The 23,546-nt window shown below is 40.1% G+C and overlaps 1 protein-coding gene across 4 annotated transcripts in view, besides 2 other annotated features; it reads right to left on the reverse strand.

Annotated features, from left to right (window-relative positions):
• Window positions 1-23,546, reverse strand: part of SCFD2 (sec1 family domain containing 2) — a 493,080-nt gene that overhangs the window by 129,435 nt on the left and 340,099 nt on the right. Inside the window, exons 6-7 of one of the 4 annotated variants that reach the window (XM_017007787.3) lie at window positions 14,980-15,014; window positions 1-13,177 (exon numbers count right to left, since the gene is read on the reverse strand). The exon at window positions 1-13,177 is cut by the window's left edge and continues 26,293 nt beyond it. The exons of 1 other annotated variant lie outside the window; for it this stretch is intronic. In XM_017007787.3, coding sequence (XP_016863276.1) covers window positions 13,175-13,177; window positions 14,980-15,014 — 38 coding nt within the window. In that variant the 3' untranslated portion in view covers window positions 1-13,174. Of the gene's footprint in view, window positions 15,015-23,546 lie in introns of all 4 variants that reach the window. 2 more of the 4 variants (XM_047449646.1, XM_017007786.3) reach the window with 2 other exon arrangements.
• Window positions 1,687-1,776: a silencer, noted in NCBI's record as "silent region_15429". NCBI's record gives its function as "represses an Ori minimal core promoter by ATAC-STARR-seq in GM12878 lymphoblastoid cells {active_cell/tissue: GM12878}" and the evidence as "EXISTENCE:reporter gene assay evidence [ECO:0000049][PMID:35858748]".
• Window positions 7,293-7,532: an enhancer, noted in NCBI's record as "active region_21559". NCBI's record gives its function as "activates an Ori minimal core promoter by ATAC-STARR-seq in GM12878 lymphoblastoid cells {active_cell/tissue: GM12878}" and the evidence as "EXISTENCE:reporter gene assay evidence [ECO:0000049][PMID:35858748]".

Here is a 23,546-nt window from a genome sequence, read left to right on the forward strand (position 1 = left end):
GGGTATCTTTCTTCCTACTATGAACAACAGCAGCCTTGCTTAATATCACTGGGGAAGGGTAAGTTTTCTTCCTATTAACAACAACCACTACTAGGATTACTATCCCCACCACTACCAATCTTGCATTTATTCAGCATTGGTTTCAACTCAACTAACATTTCTTGAGCCCCTCCTATGAGCCTTGATACAGTTTTAGGCAATGGGTATAAGGATATGGGCAAAGAAAAGACAATCCCTGTCTTCTGGAACTTAAAGATCTATAAGCAAATATATAAACAAATGGGTCTCTACTACATTTAAGCTCTACAAGGTCAGAGACCTGTTGTACCAGTCTGTTCTCACACTGCTATAAAGGAATATCTGAGCCTGGACAATTTATAAGGAAAAGAGGTTTAATTGGCTCATGGTTCCACAGGCTGTACAGGAAGCATGGTGGAATCTGCTTCTAGGGAGACCTCAGGGAGCTTTTACTCATGGCGGAAGGCAAAACGGGAGCAGATATCTTACATGGTGGGAGTAGGAAGAAGAGAGAGAGGTGGGAGGTGCTACACACTTTTAAATAACCAGATCTCATGACAATTCACTCGCTCACTATCAGCAGAACAGCACTGAGGGGATGGTGCTAACCCATTCACAAGAACTCTGCCCCCATGATCCAGTCCCCTCCCATTGGGCCCCACCACCAACACGGGATTACAATTCAACATGAGGTTTGGGTGGGGACACAGATCCAAACCAGATCACCCATCTCTCTCTTTTCCCTCTCTCCCTTCCTTTCGTCCTTCTTTTCTTTCTTTCATTCATGCCATATGGCAGGCACTGTTCTTGGCCCTGGGAGTAGAGTGATAAACAAAAGACACGGATCTCTGTCCTCATCAGACTTACGTTTTAGAGCTGTGCTGTTCAATACAGTAATCAGTAGCCACATGTAGCTATTTACATGTACATATGAAGTAATAAAATTACACATTTGGTTCCTCTGTTGCACTAGCCACATTTCAAGTGCTCAATAGCCATCTATGGGTAGCAGCTATCATACTGGGTAATGCAGATATAGGACATTTCCATCCTCACAGAATGTTCTACGAGATACCACTGTCTTCAAGTTTTATTTGCAGTTAGATTTTTAGAATCTACCACTGTGCCTGGCACATAGAAAGCAGTATTAAACTGTCATTAAATGTTAGAGTAGAGTGATAAGGACAACAATAAAGTTGTGTCCCTGTACAGAAATTGCACAGAGGGAGAAGAACTTAATGGGATGGGGTCAAGGAATATCTCCCAGAGGAGACAGAAACAGGTGATAGGATTTGAACTATGATAAGTTATGATGTACATTTGGTCAATGAAGGCAGCTTGCTACAACTCTAAGGAGGACAGTAGAAAAGGATTCCTTTCAAAGTTAAATCACAACCTTCATGATAGCACTGGTCAGATGCTTCTTGGATGGGTAGGCTGAAATGTAGGGGAAGACGAAAAGGGCACAATAACAGTTTTCAAACCCCTGAGGAATTCTCATTAGGAGGATGTAAACAAAAAGCATGCCCTCCTTATTTTAGGAAATAAACAGTTTGCAATAAATGTCTGAAATAGTCCTGGTTCTTAAGTATTACTATGCTCTTCAAAATGAATGCTCTGTGAGGCCTTCCTTTTAATCAGCAAATATGCTAGTCAGAGCCTTCTATAAAAAGAAGCAGTACTTAGGTGTCCATTCCTTAGCCACAAAAGGAAACTGAATAAGAACATGCACACGATATGTGGTCAGTGATGGAGACCTCTGAGGCCTGATTCAGAATAGCTGTAGTCTAGAGCTGCCCAATCCAGTGGGTATCTCAGCTACAGGAAAACCAGAAGATTGGAGAGCATGGAAAGGAACGTAAATGTGGGCCACACGGAGGACATGGTAGGTCAACTTCAATTACCCATGTCTGCTTACCAGAGAAATAGAAAGGTAATTATCTTGCATAAAGGTGATCTGGTGGCTGGCCAGACACCCACTGCCATTGTAATCAGAATAAGTCCCATAGCTAACATTCAGATAGCCCTTACACATGCCCGGCATTTACTACATTTAATTCCTACAATGACCCTACAAGATAGGTACTATTATGATTCCTTTTGACAGAGGAAGGAACTAAGGCACGTAGATGTTAAGTAGCTTGCCCAAGGTCACACAGCTAAGTAGTAAGTGGTAGAGTTAGAATTTGAAAGCATTGATTATGTGCCAAGTGTGGCTGGGGACAGATGGGCCAATGGAGGTTAGGTGGTGAGAGGGTTCAACACTTGCAAATACGGTCGGAGGCATTCTAGAAACTTCCTGTGGTGAATCCCCACCCTGACACCCTGAAGACAGATGGTGCACCACTGGAAGTAAGGAAGACAGTCAGGGAAACTGCTTATGGTTGGGGGTATTTTTAGGGGTAAAGTATCCATTCCCCCAGCACCCATGAAACCTCACTGCTCTCAGGACAGACAGAAATTTCTATTCTTTATTTTAAGACAGAGTCTCGCTCTGTCGCTCAGGCTGAAGTGACACCAGTGGCGTGATCTTGGCTCACTTCCACCTCTGCCTCCTGGGTTTAGTAATTCTCCTGCCTCAGCCTCCCCAGTAGCTGGGACTACAGGCATGTGCCACCACATCCGGATAATTTTTGTATTTTTAGTAGAGACGGGGTTTCACTATGTTAGCCAGGCTGGTCTCGAACTCCTGACCTCAAGTGATCCACTCGTCTTTGGCCCCCTCAAAGTGTTGGGATTACAGGTGTGAGCCACTGTGCCCGGCCAGGATTTCTACTCTTAACTTTGGTCATGACTCCACTCCCCAAGTCCATGAGACCAAGGTAATAGATGTTGGAGAGAGCTGCTAATTCTGTACTTTTCCATAAAGTTGCAAGGAGAGTAAACAGCAGTAACCCACCACTGCTGATCTCTGCTGATAGGAAAGCCCCTGGCTTGCCTCCCGGAGGTCAGGCATTTGACCCTGCTCAGCAAAGAACAAGAGCCCCAAGTTCTGGCCAATTCTGCACCCTCAACCACTTCCACTTTTTCATAAGGAGAAGTTTGTGAGGTTTCCCTCTCCTCATACATTAAATTAAAGAGACAGCTGTAAGCACTATAAGATCTTCATGTTCCTTCATCGATAAGTAAGGCTGATTATTCCATTAAAACAGACTCCTGTTTTGGGAAAGATGATTCATTTTCTTAAATTTGCATCTATTTCCTGAAGTCCTTTGGCCCCTTAAAGAAGGGTCAAGCTATAATAAGATGGAACAATAAAACATTCAATCAGAGAGACACAAAGAGTATTACATTTAAAAAAAGGATTATATGCTCTTATCCTGACTGAAGCATGCTTCATAGTTGTGCTTTAGAATAACATCTAGATTCTACTGAAACCTTCTACCTTGAGTGTGCATTCACAAAAGTAAAGCCGACATTCACCAACAGGGTTTTCTGCCACATACTTCATTGTACTAACTGGAGAACTTGCCCTTTAATAAGCCCTACTGAGTGTTATGCACTCCACTCCACACTCCAGGAGAAAAGAGGAAGGAGGGGGACCCAGCACTGTGTGTGTTCCTGGCCAAACCTCTCCCTCCCCGACTCCTGACGCTCCTTCAACCCTCACTGCCTCATGACTGCAATCTGCTTTGGGAACCATCAGGACCATCAAAAGCATGTCATGCATCCCTTTGTACATCTGTCACCAGAGGGACCCAGTCATTCCTCATCACTCCTGTTCCCAAGATGGGCTCTGAAAATTCCTGCTCTCCCTCCATTTCCCCTTGCCCAGCCCCCAATCACTGTGCCTTCTGGACTCATGTCCATCACCAGCAAAAGCCTCTATGTTCTCAACTTCTTTGAAACTTCCTTTCACCTTGCTCCACCTAAAATTGGCTCTCCCCTCTACCATAGCTCTCTGAAGCAGTGGTTGTTTTCTCTCCTACAAACTTCACACCATTGGGCCTGGAGGTGAAGTAGATATTCGCCTTTCATCAAAAATAGGGGCAATATTGCCAATAGCAGCTATCTTCAAGAATACCCAGAGATTTTACTTGTTTGGCTTTAGAAGCAAACTGCTTTAAGGGATAAACTCCAGTCCAAGAATAAACATGCCTCTCCTGTCCTTGCTGAGTTACCTAAGTTATTAATAGCTTACTTAGTTAACTGAAGCAGGTTGTTTTCTTCAAATTCACAGGTTTTTTATTGAGTATAACCTGTTCTGTTTTAGGTTTTGAGGCAAGCTTAAAATATAGACTGTCCTCCCTAAACCTAATCTAGCTGGGGAAACAGAAGTTCATGTGGGAAATGACTAAAGGCATGCAAGTGATTTCCAAAGACCACATGTAAAACTCATTTTCATGCAGAGATCCCAGACTCAAGGCCTCTGGAAGTCAGGAAGGAGCATGGATTCAGGAACAGGCTGGGTAGAGGCCCTCACAAGTGAAGGGCATGGACCCCACCTGAACAGGGCAGCTCCTGCTTGCTCTGGCCAACTGTTGCTGTGGCCTATGGATCCCAACAGCCAGATCTTCCATTTTTTCAAGAGACACTAGAAATGCAGGTTTTAAAATGAAATATGGGCTGGGCACGGTGGCTCACGCCTATAATCCTAGCACTTTGGGAGGCCGAAGTGGGAGGACTGCCTGAGGTCTGGAGTTTGAGACCAACCTGGGCAACGTAATGAGACCCTGTCTCTAAAAAAAAATTAAAAATCAGCTGGGCATGGTGGTACGTGCCTGTAGTCCCAGCCACTCAGAAGGCTGAGGGGAGGATTGCTTGAGCCCGGGAGTTTAAGGTTACAGTGAGCCATGATTGTGCCACTGCACTGCAGCCTTGGCAACAGAGTAAGACCTTGTTGAGAGGAGAGAGAGGGAGAGAGGGAGAGGGAGAGAGAGAGAGAGAGAGAGAGAGAGAGGGAGAGAGAGAGAGAGAGAAAAGAAAGAGAGAAAGAAGGAAAGGAAGGAAAGAAGGAAGGAAGGAAGGAAGGGAGGGAGGGAGGGAGGGAGGGAGGGAGGGAGGAAGGATAGACTTGTTACTGATAATTGTTGCTTTGAAAATTTAAAAGCACTGTGAGAGGTAGCTTAGTACAGAGTTAAGAGCATGGATTCTGGAGCTAGACTGTCTAGGTTCAAATCCTAGCTCAAGCACTTATTATAGGTATGTTCTGGGGCAATCTACCTCACTTCTCTATGTGTCAGCATCTGTACCTGTAAAATGGAGGTAATAATAGTATCCAACTCTAAGTGTGGCTTAACAGCACCTGGAAGTACTCTATCAAAGTTTGATAACTGCTAATTGTCTGCCTAAAGTCAGGCTGCCAATTGGCAACCTCTACTCACTAGCCATCCTTCCTACATATCCATGAAACATTATTTATAAGCATGAGGAGCATTGGTCTTAGTGCATTTAAGTCAGTACATGAGAGAGCATTTTTAGGTGCTTATGAGTGTGGCAGACTGTAAGAGCTAGGAGATCTCAAGAAGAGCTTCATGCTGAACAGAGAGGCTTCCTTAAGAAGATGAACATGAGCTGGGCTCTAATGAATGATGTTCCTGGCTGGAGAGCAAAAAGGAGAGGGTTACAGGAAGGTGGGTACATCAGTCAAAGTCTCTGCAGGAAACAGATAACTCACTCAAACTAGGTAATTTGAGGAGAGTTGAATAAAAGGACTATGTACAAACATGTGGGCAAGGTTAAAGGAAACTAACGAGTGGAGGGCTAGTAGTCCAGGGTCATGCGTAGGCCCAAGGAGCCCATGCAGGAAGCACTAGAATACAGAGAAAACAGCTCCATGGAGAGGGTGGCCTCATTCTCCTCTTAAAACCTACAGCTGATGCCTCTGCATTAGCCAATCCCATCCAGAAACCATAGGGCAAGAGAGCCTACTGGTGCAGTCCATGTAGAATGACACCCCCCCTTCCCCTCTCCCTCCCCACCCTGGCACAGAGCATCATGGAGAAGCATGGAGAAGGCAGAATAATGAGCACAATGGGAAAGATGAAGCAAAAGGAGAAGAAACTAAAATGTGCTTGAGAGAAAGAAAACTATTCTAAGACTTAGTTTTTAAACTTATCATATTCATTTGCTCTCCCTAACGTCCAATAAATAACAACAACAACAAAACTCTTTACAATGTTGGAAGGACACTGTAGCTATGTAAACTTGCTCAGTGAGGTGGGGAAGAGAAAGGGTAAAAAGTCAGCCAGGGTCAGGGAATGGAGAGGTGCATGTATAAAACGCTCTTCAAAATAATGAAAGCTTTCTAGAGAAAAAAAAGCACAAATCTACAAAACTGTTGAACTTGAATGCTTAGCCAGGTTTTCAGAGAAAAGCTATAGAATCCAGCTGCTATTATTTTAATGGGCATGAACTGAAACTTAATAGAATGTGACTGGCCTCAAAGTTCAATAGAAGTACTTTCCAATTGTCTATAATCTCACTATCATGCAGAACGATCTGCTTGATTCAGCCAAAACTTAAATGAGTTTCTTCTATGTACTTTTCTCTTTTGATGGTGCAGAAGAGATGTGTGATCCTGACAGAACAATCTAAAGCCTGATGTGGAGATCTGGGTCTTAACAACCCCTCTAAAAGCACTGTGGGGACTCTAATGGCTTTCCTTTGGATGGTCAGCCACACCTCCCAACTACCTTTGACGAACTTGCCATCTTCCATAAATGACTGTAAATTCCTACTACTTGCAAACTATTAGTCCTCTCTCACTATCAGCCCCTTTATTATTTTCGTCCAGTATTGATTGGCTCTAGAAGTAATAAATTTCACAGTGTTGGTAGCGCTTCCTCTGTCATGGATTAACTTCCTTCCAGGGACCTTAATAATCTTAGAGTCCTATCTTCCCAGAAGCATTTTCCAAAGTCCTCATAGGCACTAAATAAACAAAGGATTACATGGTCAAATGAGTTTGGTAAATACTGGTTGAGAACCACAAAGTTAAATAAGTTTTCCTTAAGAACAACCTTTTGAGATCTTTTAATATCAAATGTAAAGGGAGAATCTACTGGAAGAACACATGGTATGCAGAGATTTTCAAACTTACTTGGCTAAAGAATACCTTTTTTTAGCAAGCACCTTGTAGGACAGATGTGCCGCTGAACATATTCTGGAATCTGGATTACAAAAGAAGAAACTGGAGTCAAAGTCTTCACAAATGATTATGGCTTTCCCTTCGTTCTCGTAATTCTGAGACTTAGTGCTGACCTTATATATAACCTCCATTTATAGACACACATAGTCTCAACCTCCATTTCTACAGACTGAAGGATCCTAACCTTCTTGTTTTTTCACTATTATGGCATCTGAGCTCTCCCACTATCACCCCCTGCTTCCCTTTATCATTTTAATTGCATTTCTCAGAACCCTGTCCAATTTGAAGCTATCTTTCTGGAGGAACAAGTTTGGAAGCAGCACACACATTCCAGGTGGGAACATGGATGGCCCTGTAAACACCTTCAGTCTGGTTTCCTGTAGCTTTCCCAAAACCCCTTGCATTTCACTGGCCTGCTGGCCTACCGGAGCTCTGTGCTCACTATACTTTCTCGGGCTGCACTGAGAGCTTGGAGCACATCACCTTCTAAGTCAAGGGCTTGTTTCATTTCCTCTCTGAGATTAGATTAGAGACCATCTTATTCTACCTCATATCCTCCACAGCATCCAGCCTCCCACATGATAACTGAGTCCTCAAAAGTCTTGCATTTGTTTTGCTGAGTTGATATTTTAGAAGTTTCTTCCCGAGTTATTATCTTGCTCTGGCCTCAAAGAAAACATATTCAACACATTTCTATAGCTTTACAAGATCTTGTTTATTCCTGACAGCTTCGCAATTACTCTACATTTACAGGTACTTTCTTCGAATTACTTAAAACTATTTTCTATGAACTGTTTCTTAGGGCTTTGTACTGCTTCTTCAAGATACGACAAAAATTTATATTCAAAACGTGACTTTTACACAATAGTAAATACATTGGCAATGACAAGAACAGTCTAGCAAACAGGTTTGTGCTTTTAGAGGCAGACACGCTAAGTTCTGCTGAATGTCAAGGCTGACTTGGGAATCCAGCTGCTTCTTACACTATAGCAATGAGGACAGAACATTCTTGGCGGAAATCCCTGTCCTTGTGGGCAAGCTGCCTTTAAACTAGACCTCCCAGTACCTGGCACAGTTCTGGGCTCACAGTAGATACTCAATAAACTTTTCTGAAACGAATAAATCATTGAATAAAGGATGAATAAGTGAACAAAGAAACATTTTGGAAGAGAAACATCTTAGGTATGGTATTGGTCACCTCTCTCAAGTGAAAGTTTTCATTCCTTTTGCTTCTTTTCCCATTTTGGGGCCGGGCTGGGGGGCGCGGTCCAGCCTCTCCAACATATGTCTTTACACTCTCAGGACGTTCCTCAGATCCCAAATACATAGCAGCAGGTAGTGTAATCAGTTATGTCCTTAGAATGGTGACAATTTAAAATTTCTGCACCTCTTTTGTTCCAGAAAATTCATGCCTTAAAAGACCAACGGCAAACTCTTCAAAATGCCTTCAGGAAATAAAGGTGACATTTGTTTCTATAGCGTACCTTGAAAAAGCATCCAGTTCAAACACTGTTCCAAAGCACTAGCTATGTCTGATTTCATATTTTACATTTGGACTTTATTTTCCCCCTAAAAAAGGCAGACATCAGAATATTATGTTTGCCAACTCATGAAACAATTGTTACTATTCTGTATTCTTTCTATGAGGATAGTATTATGAGGCTGTGCTCATAATAAAACCTTCATCCTAAATCTCTGTGCACCTTATGAATTTCACTGCATCTTTGCTTTTTTTTCCCCCCCAAAGAAGTCATTCAGGTTCCTTTAATAATACCAGTAAATAGCTCCAGCCTTCCACAGCTGCAGAGGTTTACTGTCCTGAGAGATTTTTCAGTGTTACAATTCATGCTTCCAATCAAAACAGTGACAGAGTTGACAGGATTTAGTGAGAAGAAGGACTTGATTAGGAACCAGGACACTACTGAGCAAATATTAAACAACTACAGGGAATTTCTAATATGCAGTGTTCTCTCTGTTCACAACAAAAACAAGCCAGAAACAATTTCCTGTGCTGCAGCTAAGTGAAATGGAAGTTTGTTTTTAAGGTTCCTTGTAGTGTGTTGTGTACATTTCAGCAAAGCCGATTTCACCTATGAGAGGCACTGGCTCCTTAAATAACTCCATTCTTCTCATTTCAAATAGAAACCAGCTGCACTTCTAAACTGTAACAAGAACACCTATCCAGGAGGTCAAAGCTGGAAGACACCTCACTGTGAAACGCTTCAAGCTTCTTTATCTGGGTTACAAGTTTGGTCTGCAGTGAATTGTCAGTGACAACCTGTGGCCTGGAATTTAATTCCTTGATGCCTTCATAACATTATTATTTCTTCCTCTCTAGAGGATAAACAAGTACATAATATACTATGAATTGGAGGCTGAAACCGACATTGATTGTGGGGAGAGGAAAAGGTTCTGGGAACACAAATCTGGGGATTTTTCATTGAGAATAAGTAATTTTGAAAAACCAGGTTTTAGGCTTTTTTTTTTTTTTTTTTAATAGCTTAACTCCTTCTATGGGTTAATTTGAGAGGACTCCATCCCCCTACTCCCTGCCCCACAAATTTCCAAAAACAACAGCAAGAAAGATCCTGGCAGAAGTCAAAGGGTCAATGGATCCTAAATAGTTTTCAGGTTCAAGTATGCACCATCAACAATGAGAAAAGCCCAGCCGTGTTATAATGACTCACCCCTTGACAAGAGATTCCAAACCGTGAAATCGAACAACTGCATATTTAGCCCTACGAATTGCATGGCTTACAAGTCACAGAGGGGTAAATTTGAAATAGGGAAAGGCTGGGATACCTTATTAGCATAAAATCTCTCTCTCTCTTTCTCTCTCTCTCTCTCTCTCTCACACACACACACACACACACAAAAGGCAGGGAAGTGGAGGCAGAGGCTGCACTGTGATCCTGGTCAAATAGGTTGGTCCTCTGTGAAGTGCCCATAATTCCAGAAGAACCCAGGGCTGGCTATTTGGTCCGAGGGGCCACTCTCATGGCCTGTTTGAAATAGTTCTCCTAACAGCAAGATTCAAAAAAGAATATTCTTTTCTCTCTTTATTTTTCTTTCATTCCTTTGTTCATGTAGGATAAAATTTTTACCTTTCTCTACCCCATTTCATTTTCTTAGCATTTCAGGAGAGATGAACCAGTGCTTTTCTGGTACTGCTCATCAGCATGTTCTAGCCAGTCGGCAAAAAAGGCATCTGCATTTATGGAGTTAATTGACATCTTATTAATTTTGCTCAGATTCTTTCTTTTACCTCCCTCTCCCTCTCCCCTCCTTTCTGTGTGTGTGTGTGTGTGTGTGTTTTTTTTTAAGAGAGAGAAAGCTAATGAAAACCATGTTTATATGCTCAAAGGCACAGAGGAAATTCATTACTCTGAGGAATAGCACACTCCACAAGTGAAATGAAAGTAATCTTATTTATGACAGGAAGGGGCCCTAGCTAGACTGAACTCCACCACACTTCCACTGTTACATAGAAAAGGAGCTGCAGAGCTCCTGCACCAACTCCAAATGGCGGCCTCACTGACAACAAACACATTTGCACTCTGTGTTTGAAAACTGTTAGAAGCTCCAGAAAAACAGCCATCTAATAGAGACAAGGAAACAAAATCTGCTTAGAATAGGCCATTCTTCCTTTACACCTACAGTACTTTCCCAGGACTCCTTGTGACTAAATGTTACAAAGATATCTCATCAAATCATTAGCTGATGACATTTATCAAGTACTGGTAAATACAGCTATGTTAGTTTCATAGCCTTAATTCCCTTATTAGAAGAGTTTTTCACTGTAAATTCATGGGCCCTTTCCTGTGTAAATAAATAATGGAAGAACTTAAATAATTCCTTTCACTATAAATGTCACCTTGTACCCTTGCAGACAATTCTCCCTTTCCTTCTTGAAAATTCCTTCAACTGTGAGAATATTTCCTTTTTTATTACTTGGGATTTTGCCATGTGGCTTTTTTTCCTCATTCATTCAATTAGTCAACGAAAATCATTTAGCTGTTATGTTCTAGAGGTTGGTGGGGAGATAGTCTCTACAATTTCTGTCAAAACTACTCATGAGTACTCTTCAAAATCTTAATATTATGTGAAATGTTGGCAGTAATAAGGTAGTTTTATAACATTTATTATATGGCTTCTGAGAATAACTTTTGCTGGAACGTCCTCTGAGATCATTAGGCCCATCTCCTCATTTATAGATGAGAAATCAGGCTCAAGGGCAGATCCCAGACTGTATATCTCCTTATTAAAAAATAGTTTTTTAAATTCCAAGAAGCTTCACATGTTTACCACTGAAGGAAAGGTATTATTGCTTGGATTCCGTGCAGGGGAGGGATTTTATAGTCCTCCCATCTTATGAAAAGGCTTCAGTATAAAATAAAAAGGGTCAACTAAAAAATATCTGGTATTTTGAAGTCCCATACAGAGATGCTATATGAGAGAGCAACTTGGAATTAAATTAACTAATTTGAGTTAACTCATCTTTATTAAGCCTGAGGTGCTGAGCATGTGTTGGGTCCCGGAGAAAAACAGACATACACCCTTTGCCATGTGCAGGGGATGCAGGGAGGTAAATGGGTGGACCTGTTTACATTATGGTATGGTAGGCGCTATGATGTGGAAGTGCAGAGTGCTATGAGACAGAGGAGGCTTCCTCCAGGGTGAAAGGAGTTGGTATGGAGATGGAGTGGCAGTGATTGTTCCAGGCAAAAGAAACAACTTGTATAAAAGCCTGGAAAAGAAAGTTTCAGAGTTTTTGTGAAAACAGTGTTAGTTACGCACTGAAGGGGAGGTTAGAAAGGGATTATAGTCAGAGTCTCTGATTTTCACTGGCCACACCTAAAATCCATGTGTTCCTTACTTGCCTTGTCCAAGTTGACATTTTTAAGTGTGGTATGTAACATTTATTTGTACAGTTATTCTTCCCTGTCATCCAAGACACTATTCTTAGTTTTCCTTTGCAATACACAAAGGTGATTCACTCACCTTGAGAAGGCCCTGAATTCAGCTTATTCAGCATTTATCAAGAACCTCATAGGCACAACCCTCTCCAAGTGCTGCCTCAGCCCTCTGTGTTTATAGTCCTTGTTATAGCACAGATCACATGATATTAGGGCTCCTTGGGCTCCCCCGTGAGCTCCAGGAAGGACTGTCTTAGCCACCTCCAGAACTCCAGCACAATGCCAAGCATATAACAGGAGATAAATGCTTCTTGAATAAATACACGAGCTTGGTGGGATATACCTCAATTCTTAAAACATACTTAAATGCACCTTTTGAAAAAAACAGTGTCCTACATAGCTTGCTTTGGTACAGACGGTAAGGGGACAACCAAAAAATGGTTAGAGAATCTCTATTTTGTGAAAAACGCATTAACTCAGCATTCCCTGTTATAAGGGTACATAGAAATATTTTTGAATTTATAATATCCACTAGAACGTTTTACTGGTGTAGTACTTAGTAGCAGTTGTTTTGAATAAAAACTAGACATTACAAGGTAATGATTTAGCAAAACAAACCAAAAGTCAGTGAGTCAGGAGGAGAAAAGGCACTGTGTTAAAATGACCAGCTGTATTACAGGGTCTGCTATTTGCTACATCAGTTTCTCATTAAGCAAAGCTCACTATATTTAAGGTAATTTTAACAGAGTAAATACAAAAAAACACAGTAATAAAGACTAACCATATACTTGGATGGTCAGGACACAGGCCAGGATTATGGATTTTATTCTTCTGATCCACCACAGTTGGTCCTAAAACACCTGTCATTCATCTAGTGTTACTGGGGACCTGCTATTTGCCAGGCACTGTGCTGTGCATTGAGAATACAAAGGTAAGACAGCAGCTCTGCCCTGAAGAATTTTTAGTAAGGAGTACAGGAAAATATGCAAAAAAACAAAAACAAAACCCAAAAAACAAAACGAACCTTTGGAAGAAGCAGCAGGAGAATCAGGGCAAGCTTCCCAGGAGAAGCAAAATCTCTCAAACGCACGTTGTCAGTCATCAGGCGGTTCAGATAAGACTTTGAAAACTTATCAGCACACGTCTTCCATCACTATTAGAAAAATAACTTGAGTGTACCCAACCCCAGTTTATCTTCCAAGTTGGTAACACATATCTATGTGTTCCTGGAAGCTTTGACCATATGGCATGGTCAAATAATATATTTATTAAAATATATTCTACCTTTAAAACTGATTAAGTTTGGGGAGAAGAGAAATAGCAAATTGATAAACGGTCTTCTGTAGTAACATGTTTGAGCCACAACGAGGCGCTCTGGATTCAAGAATGAGTGGGCTTCTCTTATTGTACAGTCTCTTCTCTATGAGGGGCTTTCAAAGAACAAAATGCATTTATCTAACATCAGGAAGGCCAGCAGCTCTTGTAGGAAGGCAGATGTTTGTCCTGTACAAAGTACAGATGTTTTTGACTGAAGTTCCAAAATAAATCTTATTTGTGGAAGAAGAATTAAACGAAGGCAGAAACTGCTTCTTAACAGAGGGGCTTCTAACATCTAAAATAACCATTTTCCTACACGGTCACCTGGGGTGGAGGAATAAATAAAACAAACAAGCACATAAAATTAAAATATTAACCACCAACAACAAATGATAAAAACCCTCACAAAATAAAACAAAGCTCTCAGAATAATGAGAACATTTTTGAAAGGACACGCTGCTGGAAGCAGCTCTGATAATATTCCCCTTGGTGTTGGTTTTGGAGATCCTATCCAAGGAGGAATCTTCTTTAACCTTCATGATGAACTAGCCAGTAATCTCATGTTTGTAATATTACAATCAGTAGCCATGGAAATAAAACTGATGTCACAAATTTTGCTTTTTGATTAACACTCCTGGATTGTACAGGAGCAGAAAGCAAGCAAGTCACATCTGACCTGTGCTATTTCGTTTTTAGTAGATTAAGAAAAATTAGACCAACGGTATACTGTTATAATATGAATCTTTAAAAAATCTTCAAAATCTTTATGCAGATTTTCAAAACTCCAATGCTTCAAGATTCTTCTTTAGCTAGAACTCCTGAGCTCTTTAGTCATGAGTATTCGAAATATTCTTTGTACTAGACAAAATAAATGACTCGTGCTACAGATGAGTAAGAGGCTCTAATTAGAAGACAGGTGAAAGAAAATTTATACTTCTCACTGTTTAGAACATTTAGTTTTAACTGAGCTTGTAGGGATTTTTTTAAAAACTGCTTAGAGATCTTGAAGAAATATGAATCTTTCAAGATTTCCCAAGTATTTCAGGACATTTAAAAATGATCAAGATCTGGCCAGGTGCGGTGGCTTATACCTGTAATCCCAGCACTTTGGGAGGCCAAGGCAGGCGGATCACAAGGTCAGGAGTTCGAGACCATCCTGGCTAACACAGTGAAACCCCGTTTCTACTAAAAATACAAAAAATTAGCCAGGCGTGGTGGTGCACACCTATAATCGCAGCTACTTGGGAGGCTGAGGCAGGAGAATTGCTTGAACCCAGGAGGCAGAGGTTGCAGTGAGCTGAGATTGCAACACTGCACTCCAGCCTGGGCAACAGAGCGAGACTCCGTCTCACACACACACACACACACAAAAAGAAGCAAAAGTTCTTGCCATAGTAATCATATTTGGGTGGGCACCGGTGGCTAATTATAACACAATAGGCTATTTTCTGCTTCCTAAAAATAAGGAGGACAATTATCCAGGGGTGGAGGTAGTTATGCAATGGTACCACATATTTCTTCACCCACTAGAAATAAACGTGCGAAACATTCAAATCACATATGAAAAACAAGGAGAGAGAAGATGAATAAAAACAAGTTAAATGAAAACTTACTGTGTGAAATAGTGAGGTAACTCACCCAAAGTTCTGATGCTGCTGCTATCTGTTTTATATCTGTAGTAAAGATGACAGATGAAATAGTAGGTGCAATACAGGTTTTATAAACCTAAGGAAAACATCTTAAAGTATTTGACCCAACTATGTTTTATCTTTTAAGTTTCAATTTCCATCTAGATTCCCTGAGAATATGGACTTTAAAATATCCCACATTAGTAAGATCAAGTTCTTTTAAAATTAATGTTTGGGAAAAATAATGACCAATTTGTTGTAGTATAAAGACCACTGGGTTGGGTCTGCCCAAAATCCTCTGTGACACACTTCTCATGCAGAGCCAAAATCCCCATGAAGGCAAACTAGGCCCTACCTGCACTGAGCTCTGCCACCTCTCCTTCTCCTCCCACTTGCTCATTCCACCCTCCTGGGTATTGTTCCTTGAAGAAACCCAGCAAGCCACCACTTCAGGGCCTTTGCATTTGCTATTCTGTCTACCTGGTAGGTCATTCCCCAAAGTATCCAAACGGCTCACAGCCCAGTTCTCTGTAGGTCTATACAAATGGCTCCTTAAAGTAGGGCTTCTCTTGACCATCCTATATAGAACAGCACACTGCTAAACCACTCTGTATCCATCCTGCTCTCTTTCCTTAACTCTGTTTTTCTCCAGAGCTATCATCAGCATGTGACATACTATGCGTTTGTTTGTTGTCTTCCCATACCAGAAGGTAAGCTCCATGATGGCTTACATTAGAGCTTTGTTGGTTTTATTTACTGTTTCAACCCCAGGGCTCATGATAGGGCCTGACACTCATATTTATTTAATCATTTAATTGATTTCTGTGACATTGTTGAGCAGTTAAGAAAAAGTTGATGAAAATTTGATATTGTTACAGAATAAACCAAGCATTATAAACCATCACTATCATAAATCTATTATTCACAGATTACTAAAATGGAAAAGGAATTGATAGAACATGTACACCCAGAAAAAGACAGATCTAAATCTTACGGCAAATCCAATATTGCTCCAAATAACATGATATCCGAAATAAGGCAAAAATGCAATGTTCCTGACAAGCATTGCTTGTGACGGCAATAATCCAATGTCTCACACTTCAGAGGCCAATTTCCTTCTGGTGATTTCTCTCCAATTCATCCTGAGTGGACAGAATCACTCAAGTCAGAGTGATTTATATTTAGTCAATCAATTCTATGTCAGCAGGAAAACTCCACTGGGCCCATGAAGTGCAATTTTCACGCTTGGAGTTTCCTTTATTGCTAGGCCAGACATTTCTGGGAAAGAGACCCAGCATATCAACCCTGAAGACCAAACACAACCCTCCCAAAGGATGCTTAGGACATCTAAATATAACAAAACTTACGCCAGCCTGACCTTGCTCATTAAGAACAAGACAGTGCATGTGTTCATGCAGGATGCATCAATGATGGTGTGTACGCTCTTGTTCACCTTTAGACTAAGGATAGCCATAATAAGGTTTGTTGTGATAGCCTCTCACAGTGTATACTCAAGATGGCCAGTTAGGAAGCAAAGCAGCCCGTAAAGCTATAGAGGCCCTAACATGTCCAATTTCTACTTGATAAGTAAAGAATAATAGTGTTGGAATGATTTTGGTCAGATGGGTCCTCTCATACCCAGATGATAGGAATGAACTGCAGCAAATTTCCCAGGGTGCAATGTGTTCAATAGATATTAGGAGCCTTAAAAAGGATTATAACCTTTGACCTAGTAATTCCATTTCTAAGACTTTCTCCTAAGGAAGTAATCAAAGATAAGGACAAAGATTTATGCACAAGGATGTTCAAAAGCTGGAAACAGCTGAAATGTACAAAAATAGGAAAATGCTTAAATAAAAAATAGTAAATCTTATAATACAACATTAAAAACAAACTTTTGAAAATGAATAATTTGGGAAGTACCTTTCATATAAAGATTAACTTGTATTTAAAGCCCTGTTTATGTAGGTGTATAGATAGATAGATACTTATATGTATATGCTTATGAATTGAAATAAGTTTATCAAAATATTTACAGTGACTAGATGGTGAGAATAAATTCTATTTAAAATGTTTATCTTCATACTTTTCTACCATAAATAGATATTACTTAATTTAAAATAATACCATTGGCCTGATTATAAAAGAACACTTACTACTTCAACATCAGGAGAAGAAATAAGGAGTAAAAGTTCCTCTTGGATTCAAAGGGGTTGGACAACCCTGACACTTGTAAATGTGTGATTGTATCAACGTTGTTGAAATTCTTTCCTTCTGTGAGACATATCACTTAAAAAAATCACCTCCAAACAGACTTACAAACAAACAATATATAAAGTTATGCAGCTGAGCTTCTCAGCTTCCCACCTTCATTTTCCCAGTGGGTTCTCTGGTGGTAACTTACTGAGTTAATTTAGATTAATATGGTAGGTCTTAGGTGATTACTCTGCTTTAGATCCCAAGCAATGCTAATTATTATCATAAAGGACAAGCTACTCGGAGGTTTAAAGTTCAGGCACAGAGACCTTGTCTACATTTCTGTTATCTGGCTCACCAAATTACAAGCGTCTGGTGAGTCAATATGAAAGATTCCAAACACAAAGGTCAACGCTGGGCTACTGATCTTCCTGACCCTAACTCAGAGCCAAGAATTGCAATGCAGTTTTCTCCTCCCACACTAAAACCATTAGCAACCAGCTTGTCTTGGCTGATTCTTTTCTTTTACAACTATTTTTGAATAGGTAATAGCTCTTCCGGTGCCCACATACTAAATTAGCATGTCATTTCATGACTTTTCTTCTCTGTAAAGCCTTTAATGTGTCTGTAACAGTACTGTACTTGCTAATGTTAATTCACATTAATTAGATGATGCCTTTTCAAATCAAACTATGGTCCCTCTGAAAATTCACATGATCTAGAGTGGATGTGGAAAGCCAGTTTACACACATCTTGTGAGTTAATCGGTTACTGTTTCAGAACAACTTTGCAACAGACAACTATCCAGAACCTTGTCCAGTTGTTTTTTAGAAATAATTTTCAGAGAGCCTCAAAAGGACAAAGATAGGGAAAGGTTAAGAAACTGTCAGTCTTATCATCTGTCTTTCTACATCCCCATCCAGTCAGTCACTAAATCCTAATCATTCAAATAGCTCTGGTGTTGGTATACCCTCATCGACTCCCATGACCCTATGCCTGAAACAAGTTATCCTGTGAGATGCTTTCAGATCTCAGAGACTAGATAGCTGTTCAGCACAGTCCTTTCCTTCCTGGGTACACAGTAGCCCACGTTTCCCAGCCTCCCCTGCAAATAGGAAGGATCATGTGACTGACCGAGGGTACAAATGAAATACACCACCGCCACACAGGGCAGATAAAGACTTCCCATATATAGTCCTAGGAACCATGGATTAAACAAGATGGAGCTAGGGTGCCTAGGCTGTGTTTAAATGAGAGCAAATCATGACTACCTGTTCCTGCCCTTTGATGAAAATTTGGTGTGAAGGGTCTTAATGCTAGGGTGGGTGGTTTTGGCTTCTGTTCAAGTGAAATTTTTGCCCCACATTCCTTCTTCCAGAATTGCTCCTGTGGCCACCTCATCATGTAACCCTAAACTGTGCAAGCCATCATCGAAGTGGTAGATATTTTAAAAGTGTTACATTCTTTTAGAAATGAGCTCTACCTTGACTAAGCATGTACATCTTTTAGATGACAATATACTAATAATGTGAAATTTTCAAGTAAAGCAGAAACCCATTTTAGAATGATAAGCACAAACTTATTGGGCCTTTTAATTCATGACAGAGTTGCCACATGTCTGAGGTCAAATCTAAATGACCTGAATAATTTTACATGTCCTGTGAGTTTCAACAACACAAAATTGCAATTGTTTTTAAAAATGTATCTTTAAAAGGATAACTTGAAACCCAAAACAATAAACTTCCTATTTCTAACATTTTATAGAAGAAAAACATTTTAAAGTACTTCATTTTTAATAATAGCAACTTTCAACATAATTTATTCCTGTAGGTTTAGTTTAAAACTAACAGAGATTACTAATTTTTTCTAAACTTGCAAATCATTTCCTCAACAGAAACATACTGTATGTTATGAACTTTAAAAGATACAGTGGCTACTCTCCTTTGAAGAGTTTACTGTCTAGTGGGAGAGAGGAAAATACAAATAAATAATGGCAATGCAATGCGGTATGCATTAAGTTCTCCAGGGGCGCAGCGGCAAGTCAAGGGTGAGGGTGTTGGGAAAAGCTCCTTAGAGAAGGTGACATTCGAGATCTATCAGGATTTGAAGATGTGGGAGAGAAGAAAGGAAGAGAGATGGTAGAAAAAAGCATTTCTGAACTTTTTGACTAGACTTTTTTTCCTCCAGTAAATTTATTTTAGATACTTCAGCAAAATCTTGTTTTGTTCACAGTGCCGACAGAAGAATATGTAGTTGTTCTTCTGTAGCATCCCTAACCTTGGCCCTGGAAACTGTAAGACAGAACCCAGGTGACACTCTATGATGACTGGTGCCAAGCCAGCAGATGGAAAACATTACTGAGCCAGTTCTACCCCAATGACTGGATGCCAGCATCCTGGTGTGAAAAATGAGGAGGGGGTCACAGGTCCATGTATCATAGAGCATGATGGTAAATGCCAATGGGGATGTTGTCAGGTGATTTGTGTTGTTGTCAGAAACACTTCCACTATAATTTCTTGTTCTTCAAGGCTTTGGGAATAGGGAAAATATTATCCCTGGCAAGTTGGGAAAGGAGGCTGGACTGCAAAAGGATGTCAAATGTTAACTATTGAGAGATGCATGTAAAAAGGAACAAACATGGAAAAATGTTATTTTCTCTTACTGGGGGACTTAATTTACTTTTAAATTGATAGTGACAAAGAATAAGAACACAGTATCTTTCTATTCCCCTCCACCTATAAGTCAGCCCTGAAAATATGCCTGATCCCCCATCTAGGGCCTCTAAGGTCATTGAAGGCTCACATTAAATCAGGCAGCAGTCTAAAAATAACGTGTGTTCCAATTATTCCTTTTTGCTTGCTTGGTTTTCTGAGAAATCTGTATATCTGTATTTATAGTATCATAAAGAGCTGCTTATCCTTTTCCATCTAGCAAATTGGAGGTCAGAAAATGAAGGGAAAATGCCTAATTGGGAGAATAGTCTAAGAGAGAAAGTTTAGGCCTTAGAGTTGGGAGAACTGGTTTTGGATCCCTGCTCTGCGTGGCCTTGGCAAGTTTTAAACTTTCTCCTGATCTCTAAAGAGGGGATTAATTCCTGCCAGACTACCTCACAGAGTAATTTAGAGATCAAAATAGAAATGAGATAATACTTAAGAGGCTGGTTGGTTGGCTAGAAGAAAATGCAACAAGAGTTAAGTTTTTTTCTTAATGTTAAGTAACAATAACAAAATAATAATTATAACTGTAGGGGTGTGGAGACTGACATTTTTATTCATTGCTTTATCCCTAGTGCTTGGCACAGTGCCTGGCACATAGTAAGAGTGTGAGAATTATTTATTGTATAAATGAATGAATGGGGCGCCAAGGTAAATCTATAAAGCAGTGCTTCTACAGGCATTTTGAAAACTATCCAAAAGGCTAAAAGAGCCACATTAAACCTCTTTAGTGCATCACAGGCAATTGATTTAATTTATGGTGATCATGAGTTGTTGTTATCTTCTTGAGACCTTTGTGCATAGAGAGTTTAGGAAATACTTAGACTCATGGGTACGTGGGTCTAAATGTAAAACTAGACTCCAGGGAGGAAAAGTCCTTTCCTGTGATATTACATTTAATTTTGCAGCTACATCTCATTCCTTCATTCTGATTTGAATTTGCTCCCCCAAAGATGAATATTGCTAAGATGAGGAGTTGACATCTGCAATGGGTTGTGACTCCAATTCAATGAATTCTCTATTCCAAAACTGCACTTTGGAAAACTTGGATATCAGTTTCCAAAGGTACGCTTTGGAAAAAGGAATCATGAACCCATGTGAACCTGGCCCTAAAAATATTGGTATGGCCGTAGGAGGTACCAAGAATTCAGGAGGCTTAGCCCCTACTCACAGAGTGGTGTCTGGGTGGGCAGATTGCTGTGATATTAGACCCCTTCCTCTCCTCACAATCCCAAATTCTAACTAATCTTAGTTCTCACTTTTCTTTGGCTGCTAGGAAGCTGTGTCAAATCTAGATCAATCTCATCTATATAGGACATATGAATTTTATTTCATGAATTAAAGTCCATGATTTTCTTTATCATACCTTTAGCTTCACGTTTTCTATTCTCTTTTGCCCTGGTATTATCACTGTTTTTGTAGTCTGTTTCTCTGCAAACTGCTTTGGACGTCTTTTGGAATGAGGCATAGTATTAATAAATGCAACTGCAAGTGCTAGTCTCAGAGGTTTCTAGACTGAAACCTGAAGATGGACAGTAGCTCTGTTCAGTATGAGCTCTGTCACCACTGGATGACATACTCTTACCATGTGCAGTTAATCATTTGAGGGAAAACTTCATCTCGACATTGAGAATGTGGGAGATTGGGGGTGGTGGTGGAGGGAAGCCCTACTGATGACAAGCCAGAGTTCTAGAGACACTGTAATTCAAATGAATCTGAGGCTGGCTTGGAACACAAACTCCACAGTCAGCAGCAGCCTTATTCTTGGGCATCTAGAAACAACCAACCAATGGAAACCTGCTGGTTTCAAGAAGTCTGCTTTCATTAAATTCTTGTGGCTGCGCTTCTAAAACCCTGACACCAAGTGCTAGCCATCACAAGAAAACCTGAAGACTTGAAGATTCACTTACCTCCCCAAAAAGAAGGATTCTAGGCTAACATTTGGCCCCAGAAAAAATCCAAAGAAGTGGTGGCTGGCTCAATCTTTTCTTATTTAACTCAAACTGGCTAACAAACACTGAACACCAAAGGCTTTTCATCCAGCTTGTCCCAGGTAATAGGTTGAGAGATGAGATTTAAAGCCCTGTTTTTAAGATGGCATAATCAACTTGGAGGAAGATATTGAAGAAATGGTTGTAGAGATGAAAAGAAGATTGAGGGGAAGTGACATAAAGTAGGCAAGCTATAAATAGTTGAATGAATAGTTGCATGAATAAATGGTAGGCTAAGACACTATTGGTTCTTTCTAGATATTTGGTTTCACTTGTTTTGAAGACTGGCCATCCAGTGCCAAATTGAGACCACTACTTTCTGCCAAAATTCTAAAAAATAAAAATAAAATATTCCCATGTTTTTTTCAGCAATCATTAGGGATAGTACTTTTATTGAAAGGTGTTTATGTCTCAGGCCTTTTTTTTTTTTTGCCTTCAGCCACTCCAAATAAGGTTTTCAGCTAACCCATGGGATGACGTTACTCTGAAGGGGTTCCAGAGTCCCTTTAACTCTGGTCCTGTTACCACCTCAATCATCACACATTGGCTCAGATTATCGCAGGGCCCAAGCATTTTGAAGAAAGCAGTCCTTGGTAACCTGAAGACATTGACACAGCTTCTAAACCCCTCTTGACTCCCCCTAGAATATTAGCTTAGGCTCTGTGAGTATCCACTGCATTTGTCCCACTGGTTATACTCTACCTTATCTATTCACAGATAAACAGGGCACATGTGATTAATCCAACCTGTGGGCATCTCCACGGCCCCTCTGTGTGGCTCTGCTGAAAGCTTCCATTACTATAGTTACGAAAAAAAGGAATGGAATGAACAGAAGAAGGGGGTAAGAAATAGAGGGGAAGGTGGCTTAGCCCTTCTGGGTGGCCACATCTGAAACAGAAATCTATACTTGGTCATATAATACCACATTCAGTTTTTCAAACTCTCAAATCACACTTATACAAATAAAAATATCTTTATTTCCAAGTTATCATGAATGAAGCACAGATAGGGATATCCTTCTTACAATGAAATTAGAAAATCAACATTAAAATAAACATTCTTGTTAATCTATGAGAACATCTTTTAGTTTAATTGATGCCAAACAACATAGATACTTCCAAACCAAAAAACACATCAAAGAAAACATATATTCTCCATGCTGCTGATGGAGAATGCCTAGTAAGTACAATTTAGAGATCACACAGTAGGCAGATAGTTATTTCTCAATCTCTATCAGTTTATCAAAGCACAATTTTTCACTGCCAAGTAGGACTCTTATGCTAATTTTTCACTCTTATGCCATCTCAGCATGTTCTGTTGTGATCTACCGACTATCCAAGAGCTGAATATTTCCATTATAAATGCTAAAAATTTGAGTTAAAAAAAGAGATTTTGAAAAAGCTATTCAATTGATGCGGGAAAAACTACCACATTGTGAGCTCCTGGAGGACGAGGCCCCTGTGGCCTGCTGCTGTGCACCACAGCACACACACAACATTTATTTAACTGGAGTCACCTCATGGATCTTATGGACTGGATTTTTAAATAATAGTTTGTCAAAATGTAACCTCTGTTAAATACATGTATAAAACTAACATACTTGATTTCCACAGGGATAATTTCATATGTTAAAAGTTTCAAGAAATCTTTTTACTTAGACTGAATTATGTTCTTAT

This window comes from Homo sapiens, chromosome 4 (assembly GCF_000001405.40).
Source record: "Homo sapiens chromosome 4, GRCh38.p14 Primary Assembly".
Classification (NCBI taxonomy): domain Eukaryota; kingdom Metazoa; phylum Chordata; class Mammalia; order Primates; family Hominidae; genus Homo; species Homo sapiens.